At 48.0% G+C, this 24257-nt stretch overlaps 2 long non-coding RNA genes across 7 annotated transcripts in view; both read right to left on the bottom strand.

Annotated features, from left to right (window-relative positions):
• Positions 1 to 128: 128 nt before the first annotated feature.
• On the bottom strand, positions 129 to 24136 carry LINC00999 (long intergenic non-protein coding RNA 999). The gene is made up of 8 exons (NR_024497.2): positions 23986 to 24136; positions 17029 to 17152; positions 15076 to 15192; positions 14531 to 14738; positions 13360 to 13424; positions 6675 to 6865; positions 4561 to 4618; positions 129 to 4467 (listed from the first exon to the last, which is right to left on the bottom strand). It is a non-coding gene; the product is annotated as a long intergenic non-protein coding RNA 999 (long non-coding RNA).
• LOC101929540 (uncharacterized) overlaps positions 16944 to 24257 on the bottom strand; it is a 32174-nt gene continuing 24860 nt past the window's right edge. For 3 of the 6 annotated variants that reach the window (XR_007062118.1, XR_007062123.1, XR_002957067.2), the window contains one exon: positions 19701 to 19723. This is a non-coding gene — a long non-coding RNA (uncharacterized LOC101929540). Of the gene's footprint in view, positions 16983 to 17158; positions 17455 to 19700; positions 19724 to 24257 lie in introns of those variants that run through there. The other 3 variants (XR_007062117.1, XR_007062122.1, XR_007062119.1) reach the window with 2 other exon arrangements.

The following is a 24257-nucleotide window of genomic DNA, read 5'->3' as shown; positions in this document are numbered from 1 at the left end:
CCTGCACTTCGACACAGGCAGCGGGAGGGTTTTCTCCCCATTCCCTCTGCACTCCCAACTTGAGCTATACTTTTTAAGAAAGTGATTCACCCTGCCTTTGCCCCCTTCCCCAGAACAGAACACATTAATCATGGGCGATATTTTTCATTGTGCCAAAAAGTTGCCATGACCGTCATTAAATCTGTTTAACACCAAATAATAAGGAAAATAAAATAAAAAATTCGGGCATGGTGCAGAAACTAACTCCAAATAAATTACCTACCAAAATATTCATATAATGGTGGAAATATTCCAAAATTCCATATTTTGGGATTTATACACAAAAGATAAACAAATTAGAGGCCAAGAGGCTGCCAGAAGGGAAAAACGGGGCCTGGGAAGACCATTGTGAGGAATGAGCTGGGCCTAAAGAGGCCACTGGCAGGCAGGAGCTGGACCTGCCGAAGCGGCCGAAAGGCAGGAGCTTTGGACTGGGGAGGCCGCAGTGAGGTGAGAGCTAGCTGGGCGTGGAGAGTCCGCTGTGAGGCCGAGGCCGAGGCCGGGCCTGCAAAGGTCCACTGGAGGGCAAGTTCTGGGCCTGAAGAGGCCGCCAAAAGTCAAAAGCGGGGCCTGGGAAGGCTGCCGAGAGCCATGAGCTGGGCTGGGCTGGGCTGAAAGAGGCCACTGGGAGGCAGGAGGAGCTGGGCCTGGAGAGGCTGACTCGAGGAAGTTTTGCACCTGGAGAGGCCGCCGAGAGGATGGAGCTGGGCCCGGAGAGGCTGACTTGCTGCTCTTCCAGGCCTAATTCCAGGCCGACTTGAGGACGACTTGGGCCTGCAAAGGCCGCCAGGAGGCCGGAGCTGGGCCTGGAGAGGCCAACTTCGGGACGTTTTGGGCCTGCAGAGGCCGCCGGGAGGCCCAAGCTGGGCCTAGAGGAGCCCACCGACCGGAGGCCATTTGGGGCCTGCAGATGCCATCGGAGGGCAGGAGCTGAGCCTGGAGAGGCCACCGTGAGGCCTGAGCTGGGCCTGGGGAGCTTGGCTTCAGGAAGTTGTGGGTCTACCAGGGCCGCTGGGAGCTGGGCAGGAGCTGAGTCCAAAGACGTTGTTGGGAGGCCAGAGTCGGGCCTGGAGACGCAGCCGGGAGGAAGAGCTGGGCCCGGAGAGGACGCTGGGAGGCTGCAAGTGGGTCTGGAGAGGCCGACTTGAGGAGGCCCGGCCTCTGCCTCCCACATGGGGGCCTCTTCAGGCCCAGCTGTTCCTCCTGGCTGCATCTCCCGGCCCAGCTCCTGCCTCCCAGCAAACAAGCTCTTTTGGCTCAGCTCCCGCCGGCCTTTGTAGACCCCGAAGTTTCTGCAACCAAGCTCTCAGGCCCACATCCCGCCACCAGTAGCCTGAACAGTCCCAGCTCCGGCTGGAGAAGAGCATCTGCAGGCCCCGCTGTTGCCTCCCAGGGGTGTCTCCAGGCCCAGCTCTCGCCCCACTGTGACCTCCCAGGCCCAAGTCCCTGCCTGCCTCCCAGCAGCCCGCGTGCAAGCCTGCTCCTCCCTCACGGTGGCCTGTTGAGGCAGGGGCTCACGCTGACCTCTCTCAGCGTGGAAGGGGCCGATGTGAGGCAAGGGCTCACGCTGACGTCTCTCAGCGTGGAAGGGGCCGGTGTGAGGCAAGGGGCTCCCGCTGACCTCTGTCAGCGTGGGAGGGGCTGGCGTGAGGCTAGGGGCTCCCGCTGACCTCTGTCAGCGTGGGAGGGGCCGGTGTGAGGCAAGGGGCTCACGTTGACCTCTCTCAGCGTGGGAGGGGCCGGTGTGAGGCTAGGGGCTCCCGCGGACCTCTGTCAGCCTGGGAGGGGCCGGTGTGAGGCTAGGAGCTGAGGCTGACCTGTCAGCGTGGGAGGGGCCGGTGTGAGGCAAGGGGCTCAGGCTGACCTCTGTCAGCGTGGGAGGGGCCGGTGTGAGGCAAGGGGCTCACGCTGACCTCTGTCAGCATGGGAGGGGCCGGTGTGAGGCAAGGGGCTCCCGCGGACCTCTGTCAGTGTCGGAGGGGCCGGTGTGAGGCTAGGGGCTCCCGCGGACCTCTGTCAGCCTGGGAGGGGCCGGTGTGAGGCAAGGGGCTCCCGCTGACCTCTGTCAGCGTGGGAGGGGCCGGTGTGAGGCAAGGGGCTCAGGCTGACCTCTGTCAGCGTGGGAGGAGCCGGTGTGAGGCAAGGGGCTCCTGCTGACCTCTGTCAGCGTGGGAGGGGCCGGTGTGAGGCTAGGGGCTCCTGCTGACCTCTGTCAGCGTGGGAGGGGCCGGTGTGAGGCAAGGGGCTCAGGCTGACCTCTGTCAGCGTGGGAGGGGCCGGTGTGACGCAAGGGGCTCAGGCTGACCTCTGTCAGCGTGGGAGGGGCCGGTGTGAGGCAAGGGGCTCAGGCTGACCTCTGTCAGCGTGGGAGGGGCCGGTGTGAGGCAAGGGGCTCCCGCTGACCTCTGTCAGCGTGGGAGGGGCCGGTGTGAGGCAAGGGGCTCACGCTGACTTCTGTCAGCGAGGGAGGGGCCGGTGTGAGGCAAGGGGCTCAGGCTGACTTCTGTCAGCGTGGGAGGGGCCGGTGTGAGGCAAGGGGCTCACGCTGACCTCTGTCAGCCTGGGAGGGGCCGGTGTGAGGCTAGGGGCTCACGCTGACCTCTGTCAGCGAGGGAGGGGCCGGTGTGACGCAAGGGGCTCAGGCTGACCTCTGTCAGCGTGGGAGGGGCCGGTGTGAGGCAAGGGGCTCAGGCTGACCTCTGTCAGCGTGGGAGGGGCCGGTGTAAGGCAAGGGCTCACGCTGACCTCTCTCAGCGTGGGAGGGGCCGGTGTGAGGCAAGGGCTCACGCTGACCTCTCTCAGCGTGGGAGAGGGCCGGTGTGAGGCAAGGGCTCACGCTGACCTCTCTCAGTGTGGGAGGGGCCGGTGTGAGGCAAGGGGCTCATGCTGACCTCTCAGCGTGGGAGGGGCCGGTGTGAGGCAAGGGCTCACGCTGACCTGTCTCAGCGTGGGAGGAGCCAGTGAGAGGCAGGGGCTCATGTCTCTGGGCAGGGTGCCAGAGGCATGAGTTGGGCATCAACAGGCCACTGTGAGAAGGAGCTGGGCCGCATGCGGGCTGCTGGGAGGCAGGCAGGGACTTGGCCCCGGGAGGCCGCCGTGGGGGCAAGAGCTGGGCCTGGAGAGGCCCCTGGGAGGCAAGAGTGGGGCCTGCAGAGGCTGTTCTCCAACCAGTGCTGGGCCTGTACAGGCCACCGGGAGGCAGGAAGTAGGCCCGAAGAGCTTGGCTGGAGAAAGTTCGGGGCCTAGAAAGGCGGTTGGGAGCTCGGCAGTAGTTGAGCCAAAAGAGCTTGCTTACTTGCTGGGAGGCAGGGCCGGGAGAGGCCGACTTCAGGACAACTTGGGCCTGCAGAGGTCGCCAAGAGGCCCAAGCTTGGCGTGGAGGAGCCCACCGACTGGAGACCATTTGGGGCCTGCAGATGCCATTGGAGGGCAGGAGCTGAGCTTGGAGAGGCCACCGTGAGGCCTGACCTGGGCCTGGGGAGCTTGGCTTCGGGAAGTTGTGGGTCTACCAGGGCCGCTGGGAGCTGGGCAGGAACTGGGCCAAAAAAGGCTGTTGTGAGGCAGCAGTTGTGCCTGTAGACCCAGCCAAGAGGAAGAGGTGGGCCTGGAGAAGCCCCCATAAGGCAGAGGTTGGGCCTGTAGACGCTGACAGGAGGCAGGAGCTGGGCCTGTAGAGGTCAACTTGAGGAGATTTTGGGCCTTCATAATCCACCAGGAGGCAGCAGTTGGGACTAGAGAGTCTGACTTTAAGTTTTGGGCCCGGAGATGACGTCCTGGGACAGGAGTTGAGCCTGGAGAGGCCACCGTGAGGCATGAGCTGGATGTAGAGAGGCCAGTGTGAGGCAAGACCTGGGCCTGTCTAGGCTGCTGGGAGACAGGCAGGAATCTGGCCAGGGAAGGTTGCCATGAGACAAAAATTGGGCCTGGAAAGACCCTTGTGAAGCATGAGCTTGGCCTAAAGAGGCCACTGGGTGGCAGGAGCTGGGTGTGTAGAAGCTGCTGAAAGGTTGGGAGCTTGGCTTGGGGGGTCCACAGTGAGGCAGATGCTGGGCCTGAAGAATCTGCTGTGAGGCAGATGTTGGGACTGTAGAGGCCGACGGGAGGCAGAGGCTGTGCCTGGAGGGGTCACCAAGATGCAGGAGCTGGGCCTGGAGAGGCTGCAAAGAAGCATGAGCTGGGCCTGGTGAGGTCGACTTGAGAAAGTTCAGGGCCTGGAGAGAAGGCTGGGAGGCAGGAGCTGGGTCTAAAGAGGCCATTGTAACGACGGAGCTGTGCCTGTGGAGGCTGTTGTGAGGCAGTAGGCTCATCTGCGGAGACTGCCGTGAGGTAGGGTATGGGCCTAAATAGGCCATTGTGAGTCATGAGCTTGGTCTGTAGAGGCTGACTGGAGAAAGTTCTGGGCCTGGAGATGCTGCCGGGAGGTAGGAGCTGGGCCAAAAGATTTAAGCACGTTTACATTTATTAGGCACTTTATTTCCATTATTACACTGTAATATATAATAAAATAATTATAGAACTCACCATAATGTAGAATCAGTGGGCATGTTAAGCTTGTTTTCCTGCAACTGGATGGTCCCACCTGAGCGTGATGGGAGAAAGTGACAGATCAATAGGTATTAGATTCTCATAAGGACAGCACAACCTAGATCCCTCACATGCACAGTTCACAACAGGGTGCGTTCTCCTATGAGAATCTAATGCTGCTGCTGATCTGAGAAGGTGGAGCTCAGGCGGGAATGTGAGCAAAGGGGAGTGGCTGTAAATACAGACGAAGCTTTCCTCACTCCCTCACTCGACACCACTCACCTCCTGCTGTGTGGCTCCTTACGGCTCCATGGCTCAGGGGTTGGGGACCCCTGCTCAAGTGCATCCAAAGCGACCCTTCCCACACCAGTCTTCATAGTGGTCAAGGGCAGCAACCACTTAGCTCCCAAGGCATGTGCCTCAGCTGGCATTTCATCACAATCAACAGTAAGTGGTAGCTTGAGTCACTGTGAGGTCACTTCCTGGAAATCACCAGCATCCCATTTCCCACTGGCAAAGAGCTCAGCACTGCCCCCTGGGAAACCAAACCTATGCCCAAATCCCATGTGTGGGTTTATCTCCTGGGACCCTTCCTAACATATTAGTCAGAGTCCAATCAGGAAGCATAAAACACTCAAGAGTTTAAAGTGGTAAAATTTAATATGGAGAATTATTCATTAGAACAGGTGAACAGCATAATGAGAGATTGGCTAGCACAAAGTAAAGAAAACTCTAGAGAATACAGGACTAGCCCAGGCCAGGCATGGTGGCTCATGCCTGAAATTCCAGCAATTTGAGAAGCTAATGCAGGAGGATTGCTTAAGGCCAGGAGCTAGAGACCGGTCTGGACAACACAGTGAGACCCTGTCTCTATCCAAAAAAAAGAAAAAAGTTAGCTGGGAGTGGTGGTGCACACTTGTAGTCCCAGCTACTCAGAATGCTGAAGTTTGAGCCTGGGAGGTCAAGGCTGCAGTGAGGTATGATTATGCCACTACAGTCCAGCCTGGTGACAGAGCAAGACCCTGTCTCAAAGAACAAAACAACAATCATTTACAGACAGAAAAGAAATACAGCTAATAAGCTAAGGAAAGATGTTGAAATGAGACAAGTAAAGTAATATGAGGTCTTTTATCTATTTAAAATAATCAAACAAAAAATGACTTACTAAATTATAATACCCTGTGCTGGCAAAGGTGCAGTGAAATGGGCACTCTCTTATACTATGAGGGGTGTTTAAATTGTGTATAAGCCTTCCCGGGTAAAGCTTGTCAATTTTTTAAAATAATGGAGACAGGGTCTCACCATACTGCCATACAGCCTCCTCCAACTCTTGGCCTCAAGCAATCCTCCTCTCTTAGCCTCCCAAAGTGCTAAGATTATAGCTGGGAGGCACCCAAAACCCTGTCAATTTACATCAAGGGTAATGAGAATGTCCATTCACCATGTCTCACAGTAATCTTACTTCTGGGGAGACAATTCAATCTAAACAAAAGGTCATCTGTACAAACACAGTAAAAATCTGGGAGTAACTGAAGACAGAGTTGGTAAGTGAAATAAGAAGCAGTTATAAGAAATTAAACTATGATATCAATAGGCACCTGGTATAAAAGGTCAGTTGATGTTAGCTGCTACTTTTTTGTTGTTTTCAGACAGGGTCTCACTCTGTCACCCAGGCTGGAGTGCAGAGGCCTGATCATGACTCACTGCAGTCTCAGCCTCCCTGGGGTCAAGTGATGTTCCCACCTCAGCCTCCCAAGTAGCTGGGACTACAGGAACATGCCACCACACTAGGCTAATTCATGTATTTTTCTGTAGGGATGGTGACTCCCTCTTTGTTTCCAAGGCCTATCGCAAACTCTTGGCCTCAAGCCATCCTCCTGCCTCAGCCTCCCAAAGTGTTGCGATTACCAGTGTGAGCCACCACACCTGGCCAGCTGCTACTTTTATCAATATTATTATTCCACTCAATTAAAAATTATTATTTTCAAGGCTATGCAACAGTATGTATCCTACAGCGTAATTGTAAAAACATATACAGTCGCCGTCCCTCAGTATACAGAATTAGTTCCAGCCCCCCATCTCTGCATATACCAAAATCCATGCTTACTCACGTTTTGCTGTCACCCCTCTGGAATCCACGTATACGAAAATTCCAAATATTAGTTGGGCATAGTGGCAAGCACCTGTAGTCTCAGCCACGTGGGAGGTTGAGATGGGAGGATCGCTTCAGCCTGGAAGGTTGAGGCTGCAGTCAGCTGCGATAGCACTACTACACTCCAGCCTTGGACAACAGAGGGAGACCCTGTCTCAGAAAAAAAAAAACAAAATAAAACAGGTTAGAAACTGTAATGAGGTCTGTTGGGCAAAATTCCATATAACCAAAGTATAAATTAATAAAGCAAATCGTGATAAATTAGTACGATTGACTTTCTGGAGTTTCCGACAATAAAAGTAAGGAAAATGCAAAACACAAAGACAGAGAGTAAAAAGAGAAATTAGGAAAGCATTCTACATGTTTAATAGGAAGACACTGGCCATGTTCGTGCAGCGGCAGTATGTCGTGACATGACATACCTTGGAGAGAAGTTAACAGATGAGGAAGTTGATAAAAATCATCAGAGAAGCAAAATACTGGTAGCGACACTCAAGTAAACCACGAAATTTCCATAACTTATGTCAGCAAAGTGGGAATATTGTACAGTGTGTGTTGAAGTTCCTACACAACATTGTTTATCTGCCTTTTGTTTGTTTGTAAGGAATGTATATACTAAAAGTTCTTCTTGCTGTCAAAAGAATATGTGTGAATAAGTCATTTTAACTTATTCTTCTGTTTTTCTTTTATCTTCCTGCCATCATCCCACAGCCTTACTTTAGAAATTTTTTCTTTAGAAAATTGAACAAGTGCTCCTTGTGGTGGCACATACCTCTAGGATGGGAGGCAGGGGTGGAAGGGTCACTTGAGGCCATTAGTTTGACACCAGCCTGGCCAACAAAGTGAGACCCCATGTCTACAAAACAATTTAAAAATTAGCCAAGTATCGTCATGTATACCTACAGTCCTAGCTATTCAGGAGGCTCAGGTAGGAGGATCCTTAGCCCAGGAGTTCAAGGCTGCAGTGAGCTGTGATAGCACTATTGTACTCAAGCCTGGGTGACAGGGTGAGACCCCATCTCCTAAAATAAAAAACAAAGAAAAAAAATAGTTCAAGTAGCAAGTTGTATGTGGCTTACTCTGAATATTTCTAAACTAGAAATTCTCAATCTTTTGGGGTCTAACATCCCTTTACCTTTTTTAACTTTATTGAAGATCTCTAAGACTCTTTCTGTAGATAATTATATTAAAACCAGAAAATAAGACACAATTTTTAAAATATTATTCATCACATATTAAAGCCATTACATGTTGATATAAAATTTTAAAAATATTTAGTATTCATTACATATTAATAATAAAACCATTACATGTTGATATAATACTTTTTTTTTTTCTTTGAGACAAAGTCTTGTTCTTTTGCCCAGGCTGGAGTGAAGTGGCTCAATCTCAGCTCATTGCAACCTCCGCCCCACAGGTTCAAGCGATTCTCCTACCTCAGCCTCCCAAGTAGCTGGGATTACAGGCGCCCACTACCATGTCCAGCTAATTATTGTATTTTCTTAGTAGAGAAGGAGTTTCGCCATGTTGGCAAGGCTGGTCTTGAACTCTTGACCTCAGGTGATCCACCTGCCTGGGTCTCCCTAAGTGCTGGGATTACAGGTGTGAGCCACCGCGCCCACCCCGATTAATATATGTTTTAAAACACTGATTAGTCAGGCAACAACACCGGGCAGGGGTCTCCTCATTCCCAGCAACGCAAACCCCACTGCACGGCTGAGGGGTTGCAAGGGCTGCAGAGCCAAAAGGCTCTGACTTGAGGTATTATTTTACTTGTATTTTTATTTGTATTGTGAGACAGGTCCTGCTCTGTCACCCAGACTGGAGTGCAGCTGTGCACTTACAGCTCGCTGCAGCCTCGACCTCCTGGGCTCAAGCCATCTTCCTGCCTCAGCTCCCCAGTAGCTGGTAGTACAGTTGAGTATCACCATGCCTGGTTTTTTTAATTTTTTTGTAGAGTGAGGGGTCTTGCTATGTTGCCCAAACTGGCCTCAAACTCCTGACCTCAAGAGATCTGCCCACTTCAGCCTCCTGAGTAGCTGAAACTACAAGTACACATCACCATGCCTAGCTACATTTATTTAATTTTGAAAAATATTTTTGTAAAGAGCAGATCTTGCTGTGTTGTCCAGGCTGGTCTTGAACACCTGCCCTTAAAAGATACTCGCACCTCTGCTTACCAAACAGCTGGTACTACAGGCATGAGCCATTGCAATGAGCCTGAAGAGATTTCTTTAATCTAGCATCCCATACTTGGTAGGATTGGGAAAGGCAGTAGTGTTTTTTAAAATTACTTAATAATTTCAGTAACAATCAAACTCAACCTTGACCCCTGCCTTCTCTCACACCCCATATCCAGTCTGTCAGGAAATCCTGTTGATTGTCTTCGACATCTACTAAAGATCCCCACCCAGCAACTCCCTGGCCTCCTCCCCTACTTCTCCCCTCTGACCATCTCTCAACACCACCACGACCCTGGTCAGGACCACCATCATCTCCCGCCTGGATGTTGCCAAAGCTTGGCCCCCATGCTTCTATCACATCTTCCCACAGTCTTTCTCAACTCAGCAGCCAGAGAATACTTTTAAATCGGGAGACAGATGATGTCACCTCTCTGCTCAGAACCCTCCCGCAGTTCCCATCTGAGTCAGAGTAAAAGCCAAAGCCCCACCAATAACCTCCCAGGGCTTATGTGATCTGTACTGATCCCCACCCAGCAACTCCCTGGCTCCCTCCCCTAATTCTCTCCCTCTCTCCATCTGCTCCATGGGCCTCCTTCCAGAGCCGGAGACACACCTCAGACAGTTTATTCTATTGTTTCTGCCTACAATCCTCTTCCCTCAGCACCTTGGCCACCTCCTTCCCCTCCTTCAAGTCTTTACTCAATTTTCACTTAGGCCACCCCTGACCATTCTATTTAACATTGCCATCTGTCCCCATGCCCACCATGCTCATTTCTTCTTTCTTTACTTTCTTCTTTCTTTTTTTCAAGATCTCACTGTCACCAAGGCTGGAGTGCAGTAGCGAAATCACAGCTCACTGCAACCTCAAATTTCCAGGCTCAAGCGATCCTCCCACCTCAGCCTCCCGAGTACCGGGGACTCCAGGTTCATGCCACCATGCCTGGCTAAATTTTTTAGTATTTTATTTTATTTTATTTTGAGACAGAGTTTCACTCTTCTTGCCCAGGCTGTAGTGTAACGGTGCGATCCCGGCTCACTGCAACCTCCACCTCCCAGATTCAAGTGATTCTACTGCCTCAGCCTTCCAAGTAGCTGGGATTACAGGTGCGTGCCACCACGCCCAGCTAATTTTTGTATTTTTAGTAGAGCCGGGGTTTCACAATGTTGGCCAGGCTGGTCTCAAACTCCTGACCTCAGGTAATCTGACCGCTTAAGCCTCCCAAAGTGCTGGAATTACAGGTGTGAGCCACCACACCTGGCCAATTTTTTCATTTTTTGTAGAGACAAGGTCTTACTATGTTGCCCAGACTGGTCTTGAACTCCTGGCCTCAAGTGATCCTCCTGCCTAAATTCCTAAAGTGCTGGGATTACCGGCATGAGCCATCATGCCTGGCTTCATGTTCATTTCTTCTTGCTGCTGCAACGTAGTTTGCAGTTTCCTATATTTAGTGGCTTAAAACACCACAAATCTACCATCTTACAGTTCTAGGGGCCAGACACCCAAACTAGGTCTATTAAGGCTAAAGTCAAGGTGTCAGCAGGGCTGCATTCCTTCTGGAGACTCTAATATGTTCCCTTGGCTTTTCCAGCTTCTAGAAGCCACCCCCCATTCCTTGGATCACGGCCCCTGATTCCATCTTCAAAGCCAGAGGTGAAGCATCTTCAAATCTCCCTCTCTTACCTCTGCTTTCATCACCACATCTCCTGCTCCAATTCTGAATCTCCTACTCTCTTTCTTTTATAAAGACCCTTGTGATTGCTGGGCATGGTGGCTCCCACCCAGAATCCCAACACTTTGGGAGGTCAAGGCAGGAGGATCACTTGAGGCCCAAAGTTTGAAACTAGCATGAAAAATACAGTGAGACCCCCACCTCTAGAAAAAAATAAAAATAAATATTAGCCCGACATGGTGGTATGCGCCTGTAGTCCCAGCTACTTAAGAGGCTGAGGTGAGACAATCGATTTAGCCCAGGAGTTTGAGATCAGCCTGGACAACATAACTAAATCTTATCTCTACAAGGACGAGGTGGGAGGATCACTTGAGCCCAGGAATTTGTGGCCAGCCTGGGCAACAAAAGAAGACCCCATCTGGCCAACATGGCCAACCTGGCCACCATGGCGAAACTCTGACTCTACAAAAATGAGCTGGGCATGGGTGACATGCATGTGTAGTCCTAGCTACTTGGGAGGTTGAGATGGGAGGATTGCTTGATCTCAGGAGGCCAAAGCTATAGTGAGCTATGATCACATCACTGCACTCCAGCCTGGATGACACAGAAGATTCTGTCTCAAAAAAAAGAAAAGAAACATATATTTAATCTCTGTCCCTGGTTCATGGCATAGAGCTTCTAAAGCTCTTACAAAGACCTCAGTGATAGATGTGACAGGAACATCTTTTGTTTTAATATTTGGTCTTGGTCCCAGGTTTCTAACACAAGAGCCTCTAAGAACTTTGGGATCTCCAACATGGTAAGAATGCATTTGGGGATGTTGTTGAGATGACTGGGTGACTGCAAGCTCCTAAATTTCTTCAAGAGGAGGGCTGATTACCATGCAACCACATGGTAAGAGGCTTGGGACTTTCAGCCTCATGCACTGAACTCCAGGAGGAAGAGGGGCTGGAGACTGACTTAATCACCAACAGCCAAAGATTTTATCAATCATGCTTGCATAATAAAGCCTCCATAAACACCCTGAACGGGGTTTGCAGAGCTTTCAGGGTTGCTGGACACAGGAGATGCTGGGAGGGTCCGCATGTTCAACAGAGGGCATGGGAGCTCTGTGCCCCTCCGAACTTAACTTGCCCTGAGTATCTTTCTTTTTTTTGAGACAGGATCAGGCTCTTTTGTCCAAGCTAGAGTGCAGTGGCACAATCTCAGCTTACTGTAACCTAAGCCTCCCCAGTCCCCAGCTCAAGGTATCCTCTCATCTCAGCTTCCCTAGTAGTTGGAACTCTAGGTGCACACCACCACACCGGTTATTTTTTTTTTTTTTAATTTTTTATAGAGACAGGTTTTCACCATGTTGCCCAGGCTGGTCTCAAACTCTTGAGTTTAAGCGATCCTCCCACCTTGGCCTCCCAAAGTGCTGAGATTACAGGCATGAGCCACTGCATCCAGCATGCACGTCTCTTTCATTGACTGTTTCTGAGATGTATCCTTCACAATGAACCAGTAATAAGAAATGAACTGGCCAGATGTGGTAGCTCACATCTGTAATCCCAGCACTTTCAGAGGCTGAGGTGGGAGGATCACTTGAGACCAGGAATTTGTGGCCAGCCTGGCCAACACAACAAGACCCCATCTATACAAAAAATAAACTAGCCAGATGTGGTGGTGCAGGCATGTAGTCTCAGCTACTAGGGAGGCTGAGGTGGGAGAACCACTGGAGCCCAGACAATCAAGGCTGCAATGACCTATGACTGCACCATTGCACACCAGCCTGGGCAACAAAATAAGACCCTCTCTCTCAGAAAAAAAGAAAATAAACTGTTTTTCTGAGTTCCGTAAACTGTTCTAGCAAATTATTAAACCCAAGAAGACAGTTATGGGAACCCCCGATTGGTAACAGGTTGGTCAAAAGTATGGTGACAACTTAGGACTTGCCATTGGCATCTGAAGTGAGGATGGCCTCATGGGACTGAGCCCCTAACTTGTGGGGTCTGTGCTAACTCCAGGTAGTGTCAGAATAAAGTCATGGGATACCCAGTTAATATCCAGAGCACTGAAGAATTTGGTGTAGAAACTCCATACATACATTCAGTCGGAAGTGTGTGAGTAGAGACAAACATGGGCTTTTCTGTCACCTACCTGCTTAACTGCATAGGAGAGGCAATATGTGGTGCTCATGAACAAAGCAAACATTAAAATCAGACCAAACCCAACATTTGACTCAGTCTTAATATCCAGGTGAGCTTGGGCAAATCTTTCATTATTCCTAAGGCTTCATCACTCCATTCATAAAATGGGGATAACTGTGACACCTACCTGTGATTCTGTGAGAATTAACGAAATATTACGCTTGGGGTTATTGTGATCATTATACCTATTCCAAACTATTTGACAAGGACAGTGATGGATGATGACATCAAAAAATCAGAAACTGCAATGAGGTCTCTCAGGCAAAATTCCATACAAGCAAATTACTGTGTCTACAAAGCATTCCTGCCACACTTAATTCACCATTCCCTGAACAAAATATGCCATCTTTGTTGTTCAGGTCTGTACAGTGCTGGTTTTCCTTCCCGGGCAGTTTGCGCTATCCCATCCCAGCCCACTCCCCATCCCTCCACCTCCCCCTTCCCTCCACACTCTCATGCAACTCTTCCTCATCTTTCAGGACTTGGCTTCAATGTCACCTTAACTGGAAGCTTATCTCACTCTCCAGAAGAGCTTCCCATTGCACTTGATGCATGCACTATTATTTGATCATTTTTAAGTTATAGTCCAAATCTTTTTGTACCTGAATAACATGTTGCCCAGTCAGTCTCTCTTCCTGGATTCAGAAGTCTTTCATGGTAGATCCAGCTGGAAGTGACAAAAAGACATCTTTTGACATAAAGGGATGACACAGATAGACATAAGTTCTTAAATGTCTTAAATGTTATGTGAAAATTAAACAGAATTCAAAGACTTGTGGGGAACACTTAGGAGGGAAAGTTACTGGGAATGTCATAAAGGGTTAATTTGTATTTTATTTTATTTTATTTTATTTTATTTTAATTTTATTTTATATTTTATTTTTTTATTTTATTTTATATTTATTTTATTTTATTTTATTTTATATTTTATTTTATTTTATATTTTATTTTATTTTATATTTTATTTTATTTTATATTTTATTTTATATTTTATTTTATTTTATATTTTATTTTATTTTTTTTATTTATTTTATTTTATTTTATTTTATTTTATTTTATTTTATTTATTTTATTTTATTTTATTTTATTTTATTTTATTTTATTTATTTTATTTTTTGAGACAGTCTCATTCTGTCACCTAGGCTGGAGTCGTGGTGCAATCAGGCTCACTGCAGCCTTGACCACCTGGGCTCAAGTAATCTCACTTAATTTTTATTTGGTTTAAGAAAGTCTTGGTTGAGGGTGGTGGCTTATGCCTGTAATCTCAGCACTTTGGGAGGCTGAGAGAGGTATATTACTTGAGGCCAGGAGTTTGAGATCAGCCTGGGCAATATATTAAGACCCTGCCTCTACCAAAAAACAGAGTGAATGTGTGGAAGACAATTTTTCCACAGACTGGGAGTAAGGGAATAATTTCAGGATGATTCAAGTGCATTACATATATTGTGCACTTTATTTCTATTATTACTACATAGTAACATATAATGAAATGATTCTACAACTCACTATAACGTAGACTCAGTGGGATCTCTGAGCTTGTTTTCCTGCAACTAGACTGTCCATCTGGGGTGATGGGAGACAGTAACAGAATATCAGGCATTAGATTCTCATAAGGAGTACACAACCTAGATCCCTCGCATGCACACTTCACAACAGAGTTTGTGCTCCTATGAGAATCTAATGCTGCTGCTGATCTGACAGGACATGGAGCTCAGGTGGTCATGCAAGTGATGGGAGGGGCTAGAAATACAGATGAAGTTTCCCTTCACTCACCTGCTGCTCACCTCCAGCTCTGTGGCCCTGTGGTTGGAGACCGCTGCTCAAGTGCATTCGAAAGGATCCATCCCACGCCATTCTTCAGAGTCATCTTTACTGCTGCAGTGGTCAACTTGTAGCACCCCTAAGCTCGCAGGACATATGCTTCAACTGGCATTTCACAATCAACAGCATGTGGTAGCTTGAGTCATTGTGAGGTCACTTCCTGGAAATCATCAGCATCCCATATCCCATTAGCAAGGAGCTCAGCACTGCTCCTTGGATAACCAAACCTATTCCCAAATCCCATCTGTGTGCGTCTATCTCCTGGTACCCTTCCTAGCATCAATTCTGTATTTGTAGGAGTCCAATCAGGAGACACAAACCACTCAAAAGTTTAAACTAGAATGAGCAAGATGGCTCACATCTGTAATCCCAGCACTTTGGGAGGCCAAGGTGGGTGGACTGCTTTGAGCTCAGGAGTTTGAGAACAGTCTGGGAAACATGGCGAAACCTCATCTCTACAAAAAACACAAAAATCAGCTGGGTGTGGTGGCACTTACTTGTAATCCCAGCTACTCGGGAGGCTGAGGCAGGAGAATTGCTTGAGCCTGGCAGGTGGAGGCTGCAGTGAGCAGAGGTTGTGCCACTGTACTCCAGCCTGGGTGACAGTGTGAGACCTGGTATCAAAAAGAAAAAACGTATATATATGTAAATTTAATATAAAAAGTATTAATTTTGGCCAGGCACAATGTCTCATGCCTGTAATCCCAGCACTTTGGGAGGCCAAGGCAGACAGGTCACCTGAGGTCAGGAGTTCGAGACCAGCCTGACCAGCATGGAGAAACCCCATCTCTACTAAAAATACAAAATTAGCTGGGCATGGTGGCACATGCCTGTAATCCCAACTACTCGGGAGGCTGAGGCAGGAGAATCGCTTGAACCCGGCAGGTGGAGGTTGTGCTGAGCCGAGATAGCGCCATTGCACTCCAGCCTGGGCAACAAGAGTGAAACTCCATCTCGGAAAAAAAAAAAGGTATTACTTTTTACAGAGGATCAGCACAATGAGGGACACACTAGCACAAAGTAAAGACAACTCTAGAGAATACGGAACTAGCAGAGGCCAGGCATTGTGGCTCATGCCTGTAATCCCAGCAATTTGGGAAGCCTAGGCAGGAGGATCACTTGAGGCCAGGAGTTGGAGACCAATCAGTGCTAAATAGTGAGACCCTGTGTCTACCAAAAAAAGAAACATTAGCCAGGTGTGGTGGTGGTGCACACCCGTAGTTCCAGCTACTTGGGAGTCTGGGGTGGGAGAAATCCCTTGAGCCTGGGAAGTCTACACTACAGTGAGCCAAGATTGTGCCACTGCACTCCAGCCTGGGCGACAGAGTGAGACCCTGTCTTAGAAAGAAAAAAGAAAAGAAAGTGTTAATCCCCCTATGGGAATCTCCTCTTCTCCTGCCCTCTCTGGAACCTCACTTGTCAGTTCTTCCTCCCACTTCCCTGTATCTTTAACCTATCCCCCACTTTTAGCTCCTTCCCATCATCATTTAAATTACTCAAACTTCTTCTGTTTTAAAAACCTCTCCCTAAACTCAGTGAGAGGTCTCCTGCACACCCATTGAGCCATCTGCTCTCCCTGGTGCCTTCTCTACAGCAGCCTGAGCCATGTCTCTAATCCATGAATCTCATCATGTTACTCCATTTACATCACTTCTCCTTGCCTCAGGGATTAAGTCCAAACTCCTTAACAGCCCCTGCTCTGCCCTGCCTTGCAAGGCAGCCTTACTGCTTGCCCCTCTCCATTTCATCTGCTATGAAGTCCAACTGAGCCTCATCTGCCCCTTCAACGCACACTCTTTCTCCTCTGGGAGTCTCTGAAGTGGGTAATATCCTCTGCTTATAATATGCTTCCCCTTAAACCTCTACTCTCTTCCTAGCTAGCTTTGACTCCTCTGTCACTTGTCTGCTTTGGCATCACCTCCTCATAGAAGACTTCTTTGACTCCTGAGATTCTCAGGAGCATGGCAGGTGAGGTGCTCCTCCCATGAATGGATGGAGATTAGGGAGTGTGTGTTATTCATGCTTAATTCACCAGTGCTTAGCTGAGTACCTGGCATAAAATAGTTACTGTGGTGGCCAAAATAATAACCCCCACTGCCAGCAATTGCTCATGTCCTATGTTACACAGCACAATTACATAGGAAGGGGGAATTAAGAGTGCAGATAAAATTAATGTTGCTCATCAGCTGACCTTAAAACAAGACTATCCTGGAGTATCTAGGAGAGCCCGTGTAATTACAAGCATTCTTTAAAACTGGAAGAGGGAGGCAGAAGGTTAAGAACCAGAGACGGTGGGCACAATGGCTCATGCCTGTAATACCAATACTTCGGGAGGCCAGGGCAGGAAAATCCCTTGAGTGCAGGAGTTCAAGGTCAGCCGTGGCAACATACTGAGGTCCCATCTCTACAACAAAATAAAAACAAAATTCACTGAGTGTCACGATGCTTACCTGTAGTCCCAGCTACTGGGAAGGCTGACATGGTAGGATTGCTTGAGCCTGGGAGTTTGAGGCTATAATGAACCATGATAGGACCACTGAACTCCATCCTGAGTGACAGGGCAAGGTCCTGTTTCTAAAGAAAAAAAGGACATTGGAATCAGGGTCCTCTCCATCCTGAGGTGCCTACAAGGCATCTCTCTCTGCAAACGAGTAAACATCACCCTCCAACTCCTTACAGAGTGGAGCAGCAGGAAAACTCCTTCACCTCATTTCTGTGCTGCTTGGGAGGCCTGGACAGCCCAATAACCAGGTCCTTGCTGATGAAGCAATCAGGAAATGGCTCGAGTTGAGCTAAGGAGAATTTGGATCCTTCTTTTGGTTCTCAATAGGCAGGGTAGGGGCCAGGCATGGTGGCTCATACCTGTAATCCTTGCACTGTGGGGGGCCAAGGTGAGAGGATTGCTTGAGGCCAGGAGCTCAAGACCAGCCTGGGCAACATAGCAAGACCTGGGTGGCATACAACTGTGGTCCCTACTACTTGGTAGGATGAGGTGGGAGGATTGATCACTTGATCCCAGGAGTTTCAGGCTGCAGTGACCCATGATCACACCACTGCACTTCAGCCTGGGTGACAGAGCCAGACCATGTCACAAAAAGAAAGAAAAAAAAAGAGAGAGAGGGAGAGAGACTATACACAGGCACCACCACATTTGGCTAATTTTTAAATATTCTGTAGAGACAAGGTCTTGCTAGGTTGCCCAGGCTAGTCTAAAACTCCTGGCATCAGGCTGGGCATGGTGGCTCATGCTTGTAATCCCAGCACTTTGGGAAGCTAAGGCAGGCAAATCACCTGAAGTCTGGAGTTCAAGACCAGCCTGGCCAACATGGTGAAACTCTGACTCTATCAAAAATACAAAAATTAGTTGGGCAGGAGTGGCATGTACCTGTAGTCTCACCTACTCGGGAGGCTGACGCAGGAGAATCACTTGAACCTGGGAGGTGGAGGATGCAGTGGACCCCATCACTGCACTCCACCCTGGGTGACAGAGCGAGACTCTGTCAAAAACAACAACAACAACAATAACAAAAACAAAAACAACAACAACAAAAAAAACTCCTGGCATCAAGACATCTTCCTGTCTTAGCCTCCCAATGCCCTGGGATTATACTGTTTCCTATAATTGAAGACACTTGTTCTTATACTGCTTTAAGGTATAAAGGAAGAAAAAAAAACAGATAATGGCAAATGTTGGTGGAGGCCGGGCATGGTGGCAGCCTGTAATTCCAGAACTTAGGGAGGCTGAGGTGGGCAGATCACTTGAGGCCAGGAGTATGAGACCAGCCTGGGCAACATGGTAAAATCCCATCACTACAGAAAAATATAAAAATTAGCCAGGCATGGTGGCATACACCTGTAATTTTCAGCTACTCAGAAGGCTGAGATGAGAGAATCACTTGTGCCTGGGAGGTCAAGGCTGCAGTGAACTGTGATGGCATCATTGCACTGCGGCCTGAGAGACAGAGCAAGCCCCTATCTAGAAAAAAAAAAATGTCAGTGAAGATGTGGAGGAATTGGAACCCACATACATTACTGGCGGGAACATAAAATCGTGTAACCATTTTGTTTGGGTATTTCTTTTCTTGTCATTTTAATTGGATTTTTAAAAAATCAAGACAGGGTTTCACTATCTTGCCCAGGCTGGTCTTGAATTCATGGGCTCAAGCCATCCTCCTAGCTGAGCCTCCTGAGTAGCTGGGATTACAGGTGTGAGCCATTGTACCCAACTGGTGTAGCCATGTTAGAAAACAGTCTGGCAGTTTCTCAAAAGGCTAAATGTACAGTCATCTTATAATGCAACAATTTCACTCCTAGGCATATATCCCAGAAAAATAAAAATATATGTCCACACAAAAACTTGTACAACAATCTTCATAGCAGCATTATTCATAATGACCAATACATGGAATACATGGAAACAACCCAAATATCCACCAACTGATGAACAGATAAACAAAATGCAGTGTGTCTCTACCATGGAATACTGCCATAGACGGAATGAAATATTGATACACACTATGACATAAAGGAACTTTGAAAACACTGTGCTAAGAGGGAAAAAAAGCCACAAAAGATCACATATTGTACAATTCTATTTGTCCAGATTAGGCAAATCTATAGTGACAAAAAATTAATCAATGGTTGCCTAAGGCTGGGGCGAAGGTAGGTGGGGAGAGTAGGAGGTAGTGGCTAAGGGGTATGGATTTCTCTATAGGGTAATGAAAGGTTCTAAAAGTGACTGTGGGTGATCGATGCACAGCTCTGTGAATATTCTAAAACCTACTGAATTGCAGATTTCAATAAATAAAGTGAATGGTATGTGAATATTTTAATAAAGCTATTATTTATAATAATAATAATAGGGGGCTGGGCACAGGTGGTCATGCCTGCCTGTAATCCCAGCACTTTGGGAGGCTGAGGCAGGAGGATCACTTGAGGTCAGGAGTTTTGAGCCCAGTCGGAGCAACGTGGCAAGATCCCGTCTCTATGATAAAAAATTAGCTGGACATGGTGGCACATGTCTGTAGTCCCAGCTACTTGGGAGACTCAAGTGAGAGAACCGCTTGAGCCCAGGAGTTTGAGGCTACAGTGAACCATGATCATGTCACTGTACTGTAGCCTGAGCAACAGAGCAAGACGCTGTCTCTGAAAAGGAAAGAAAACAAATGCAAGTTTTTATCACTTTGTGAGTGTAGCCAAGTTGGAGGAGAAATAGACAATAATAAAAGAGCACTGAATAATGACGGTGAGTGGCTGGTTAGGCTCAGTTGCTAGCTAAATGGCTTCTAAAAAATTCAATAAAGTTACAGCTCTGGGGACAGTCATGTAGTCAAAGAATGAACCCTAAATTCATTACAAATGCCCATGGTCTTTATTTACATGCCTTCTAGTGAAAAATTCCTAAGTGCCTAAATAGCAAGTCTGCAATGATAGCAGCTGTTTATTAAAGACTACAAAAAAGAAATGGAGGCCGGGCATGGTTGCTCACATCTGTACTCCTTGAGTTTTGGGAGGCTGAGGCAGGCAGATTGCCTGAGGTCAGGAGCTCCAGAGGAGCCTGGCCAACATGGTGAAACCCCATCTCTACTAAAAATACAAAAATTAGCTGGGTATGGTGGCGGGCGCCTGTAATCCCAGCTACTCGGGACGCTGAGGCAGGAGAATTGCTTGAACCCAGAAGGTGAAGGTTGCAGTGAGCCAAAATCGCACCATTGCACTCCAGCCTGGGTGACAAGAGAAAGACTCTTAGCTTAAAAAAAAAGAAAAAAAAGAAATGGCATCTTCTTCAAGAATTACATCGTGTTTCATGATAAAGAAACTCTAATTTTGCATTTGTTCAAGTATTGATGAGATTTAGCCAATATGACACCCATCTTGGATAAAATGCAAACAACACAATTTCATTTTCTCATTAACAAAACCGATTAAGTAGTCTAATATCAATTCTGATCTTATTAAAAACTGATCAGATTTAAAAAATTATGGAATTATGGAGCCAATAAGATGTTACAACCTGTTCCAAGGGGAATTCCAAAATCCACACATATCTGAGACCATCAAGTATGATGAAATATATTTGATTACTATATTGAAAAATAAACTGATTACATAGCCAACAATTGGACAGGGGTCTCCTCATCCACAGCCACACAAACCCGATCATGCAGCTATGTGGTTACAAGGCCTACATAGCCTAGAAGGGACTGGTCTGACTTGAGATTTCATTTGTATTTGTATTTTGAGACAGGGTCCCACTCTGTCACCCAGGATGGAGTGCAGTGGTATAATCATAGCTCACTGCAACCTCGACCAACTGGGCTCAAGAGATGCTCCTGCCTCAGCTGCCCCCATACCTGGGAATACAGGCAAGTACCACCATGTCAGGCATTTTTTTCATTTTTGTAGAGAGAGAAGTCTTGCTATGTTGCCCAAGCTGGCCTCAAACTCCTAGAATCAAGAGATCTGCCCATCTCAGCCACATGAGTAACTGGGGCCATAGGTACATACCATCATGCCTGGCTATATTTATTTTATTAAATTTATTTTTTTTTATTTTTGTAGAGACGAGGTCTTGCTGTGTTGCCCAGGCTGCTCTCAAACTCATGGCCTTAAAACATACTCCCATCTCTGCCTCTCAAACTGTTGGAACTACAGGTGTGAGCCACTGCACCTGGCCTGACTTGAGATTTCTTTTATCTAGCATCCTTTACTTGGTAGGATTGGGAAAGGCAGTAGTGTTTTTTAAAATTACTTAATAATTCAATCAGAATCAAAGTCAACCTTGACCACTGCCTTCTCTCACAGCTCACATCCAGTCTGTCAGGAAATCCTACTGACTGACTTCAACATGTATCCAGGCTCTGACCATCTCTCACCACCACCGTGAACCCAGTCAGGATCACTATAATCTCCCACCGGGATGTTGCCACAGCTTGGCCCCCATGCTTCTACCCAAATCTTCCCATAGTCTTTCTCAACTTGGCAGCCAGTTCGTGCTTTTAAATCAGGAGACAGATCACATCGCCTCTCTGCTCAGAAGCCCTCGGTGGTTCCCATTTTAGTCAGAGTAAAAGCCAAAGCCCCAGCAATAGCGTCCCAGGGCTTACACAATCTGTACCAATCCCAGCCCAGCAACTCCCTGGCCTCCTCGCTGACTTCACTCCCTCTATCTCTTTGCTCCACTGGCCTCCTTCCAGAGCCTCAGACACACCAGAGAGTTTCCTTCTAATGCCTTTATCCTGTTGACTCAGCCTACAATGCTCTTCCCTCAGCACCTTGGCCAGCTCCATCACCTGCTTCAAACTTTTGCTCAATATTCACTTATGAGGCCAACCCTGACCACTCTACTTAACACTGCCATCTGTCCCCATTCCTACCATGCTCATTTCTTTCTTTCTTTTTGAAACAAGGTCTTGCTTTATTGCCCAGGCTGGAGTACACTGGTGCAATCACAGCTCACAGCAACTTCAACCTCCCAGGCTTAAACAATCCTCCCGCCTCAGCCACCCTAGGAACTGAGACTACAGCTGCATGCCACAACACATGGCTTTTTTTTTTTTTTTGAGACGGAGTCTCGGTCGCCCAGGCTGAAGTGTAAGGGTGCCATCTTGGCTCACTGCAATGTCTGCCTTTTGGGTTCAAGTGATTCTCTGCCTCCCGAGTAGCTGGGATTACAGGCACCCACCACCACACCTGGCTAATGTTTGTATTTTTAGTAGAGATGGGGTTTCACCATCTTGGCTAGGCTGGTCTTGAACTTCTGACCTCGTGATCCACCCTCCTCGGCCTCCCAAAGTGCTGGGATTACAGGTGTGAGCCACTGCGCCTGGCCTTTTAAAAAAATTTTTTTTAGACATGAGGTCTCATTATGTTGCCCAGGCTGGTCTTAAGCTCCTGGGCTTAAGCAATCCTCCCACCTCAGCCTCCTAAAGTTCTGGGATTACAGGCGTGAGCAACTGTAACATGAGGTCCCAGCTTCATGTTCATTTTTTGTTGTTACTACAACAAAGTACCCTACATTCAGTGGCATCAAACACCACAAATCTACCATCTTACAGTTCTGGGGGCCAGAAGCCCAACTAGGTCTATTAAGGCTGAAGTCAAGGTGTCAGAGGGGCTGCATTCCTTCTGGGGGAGGCTCTAGACAGAATGTGCTCCTTTGCCTTTTCCAGCTTCTAGAAGCCACCCCCATTCCTTGACTTACCTCGTGACTCCATATTCAAGGCCAGAAGTGCAGCATCTTCAAATCTCCCTCTCTGACCTCTTCTTCCATTACCACATCACTTTCTCTAATTCTGACTCTCCTACCTCCTTCTCTTATAAAGATCCTTGTGATTGGTGGGTATGGGGGCTCCCATCTGTAATCCCAACATTTTGGGAGGCCAAAGAGGAAGGACTGCTTGAGGCCAAGAGTTAGAGATCAGCCTGGGGAAAATAGGAAGACCCTGCCTTTACAAAATTAAAATTAAAATCAGCTGGACATGGTGATGCATGCCTGTAGTTCCAGCTACTGGAGAGGCTAAGGTGGGAGGATTGCTTTAGCCTAGGAGGTCAAGGCTGCAGTGAGCTATGATCACATCACTGCACTCCAGCCTCAGTGGCAGAGTGAGACTGAAAAGAAATATACATTTGGTCTCTGCCCCTGGTTCCTGGCATAGAGCTTCCAAAGCTCTTATAAAGCCCTTCGTGACAGAGGTAATAGGAGCATTTTCTGTTTTGATATTTAGTCTTAGTCCCAGGTTCCTGACACAAGGGCCTCTAAGGTCTTCCAGAACTGCAGCATGGTAAGAATGCATGTGGGATGCTGTTGAGCTAACAGGGTGGCTGCAAGCTCCTAGACTGCTTCAGGAGGAGGGCTAGCTGCCAGAGAAAGCAACCACATTTTTCTTTTAAAATGGAGTTTGGGTCTTGTAGCCCAGGCTGGAGTGCAATGGCACAATCTCAGCTCACTACAACCTCCACCTCCCAGGTTCAAGCAATTCTCCTGCCTCAGCCTCCCGAGTAGCTGGAATTATAGGGATGTGCCACAACGCCTAGCTAATTGTTGTTATTTTTAGTAGAAACGGGGTTTCACCATGTTGGTCAGGCTGGTCTCAAACTCCTGACCTCAAGTGGTCCATGTGCCTCAGCCTTCCAAACTGCTAGGATTACAGGAGTGAGCCACCGCACCTGGCCCCAGCACATTTTTTGAGGCTTGGAACTTTCAGCCTCACCTGCTGAACTCCAGGAGGCAAAAGGAACTGGAGATTGACTTAACTACCAATGGCCAATGATTTTATCAATCATGCCTCCATAAAAACCCAAACAGCAGGGTTTGGAGAGCTTCTGTGTTGCTAAACACAAGGAGGTCCTGGGAGGGTAGTGTGCCCAACAGAGGGCATGGAAGCTCTGTGCCCCTCCCCACTTACCTTGTCCTGTGCATCTCTTTCATTGGCTGTTCCTGAGATGGAGCCATTACATTGAGCCAGTAATAGAAAATACGGTGGCCAGATGCGCTGGCTCATGCCCATAATCCCAGCACTTTGGGAGGCAGAGGTGGGCAGAATCACTTGAGCCTAGGAATTTGAGACCAGCCTGGTCAACATAAGAAGACCCCATCTATACAAAAAATAAAAGAAATTAGCCAAATGTGGTGGTGGGAACCCTGTAATTCCAGCTACTTGAGAGGCTGAAGCAGGAG

Source organism: Homo sapiens, chromosome 10, assembly GCF_000001405.40.
Source record: "Homo sapiens chromosome 10, GRCh38.p14 Primary Assembly".
NCBI classification, from domain to species: Eukaryota; Metazoa; Chordata; class Mammalia; order Primates; family Hominidae; genus Homo; species Homo sapiens.
This window is presented reverse-complemented; position numbering and strand designations above follow the sequence as displayed.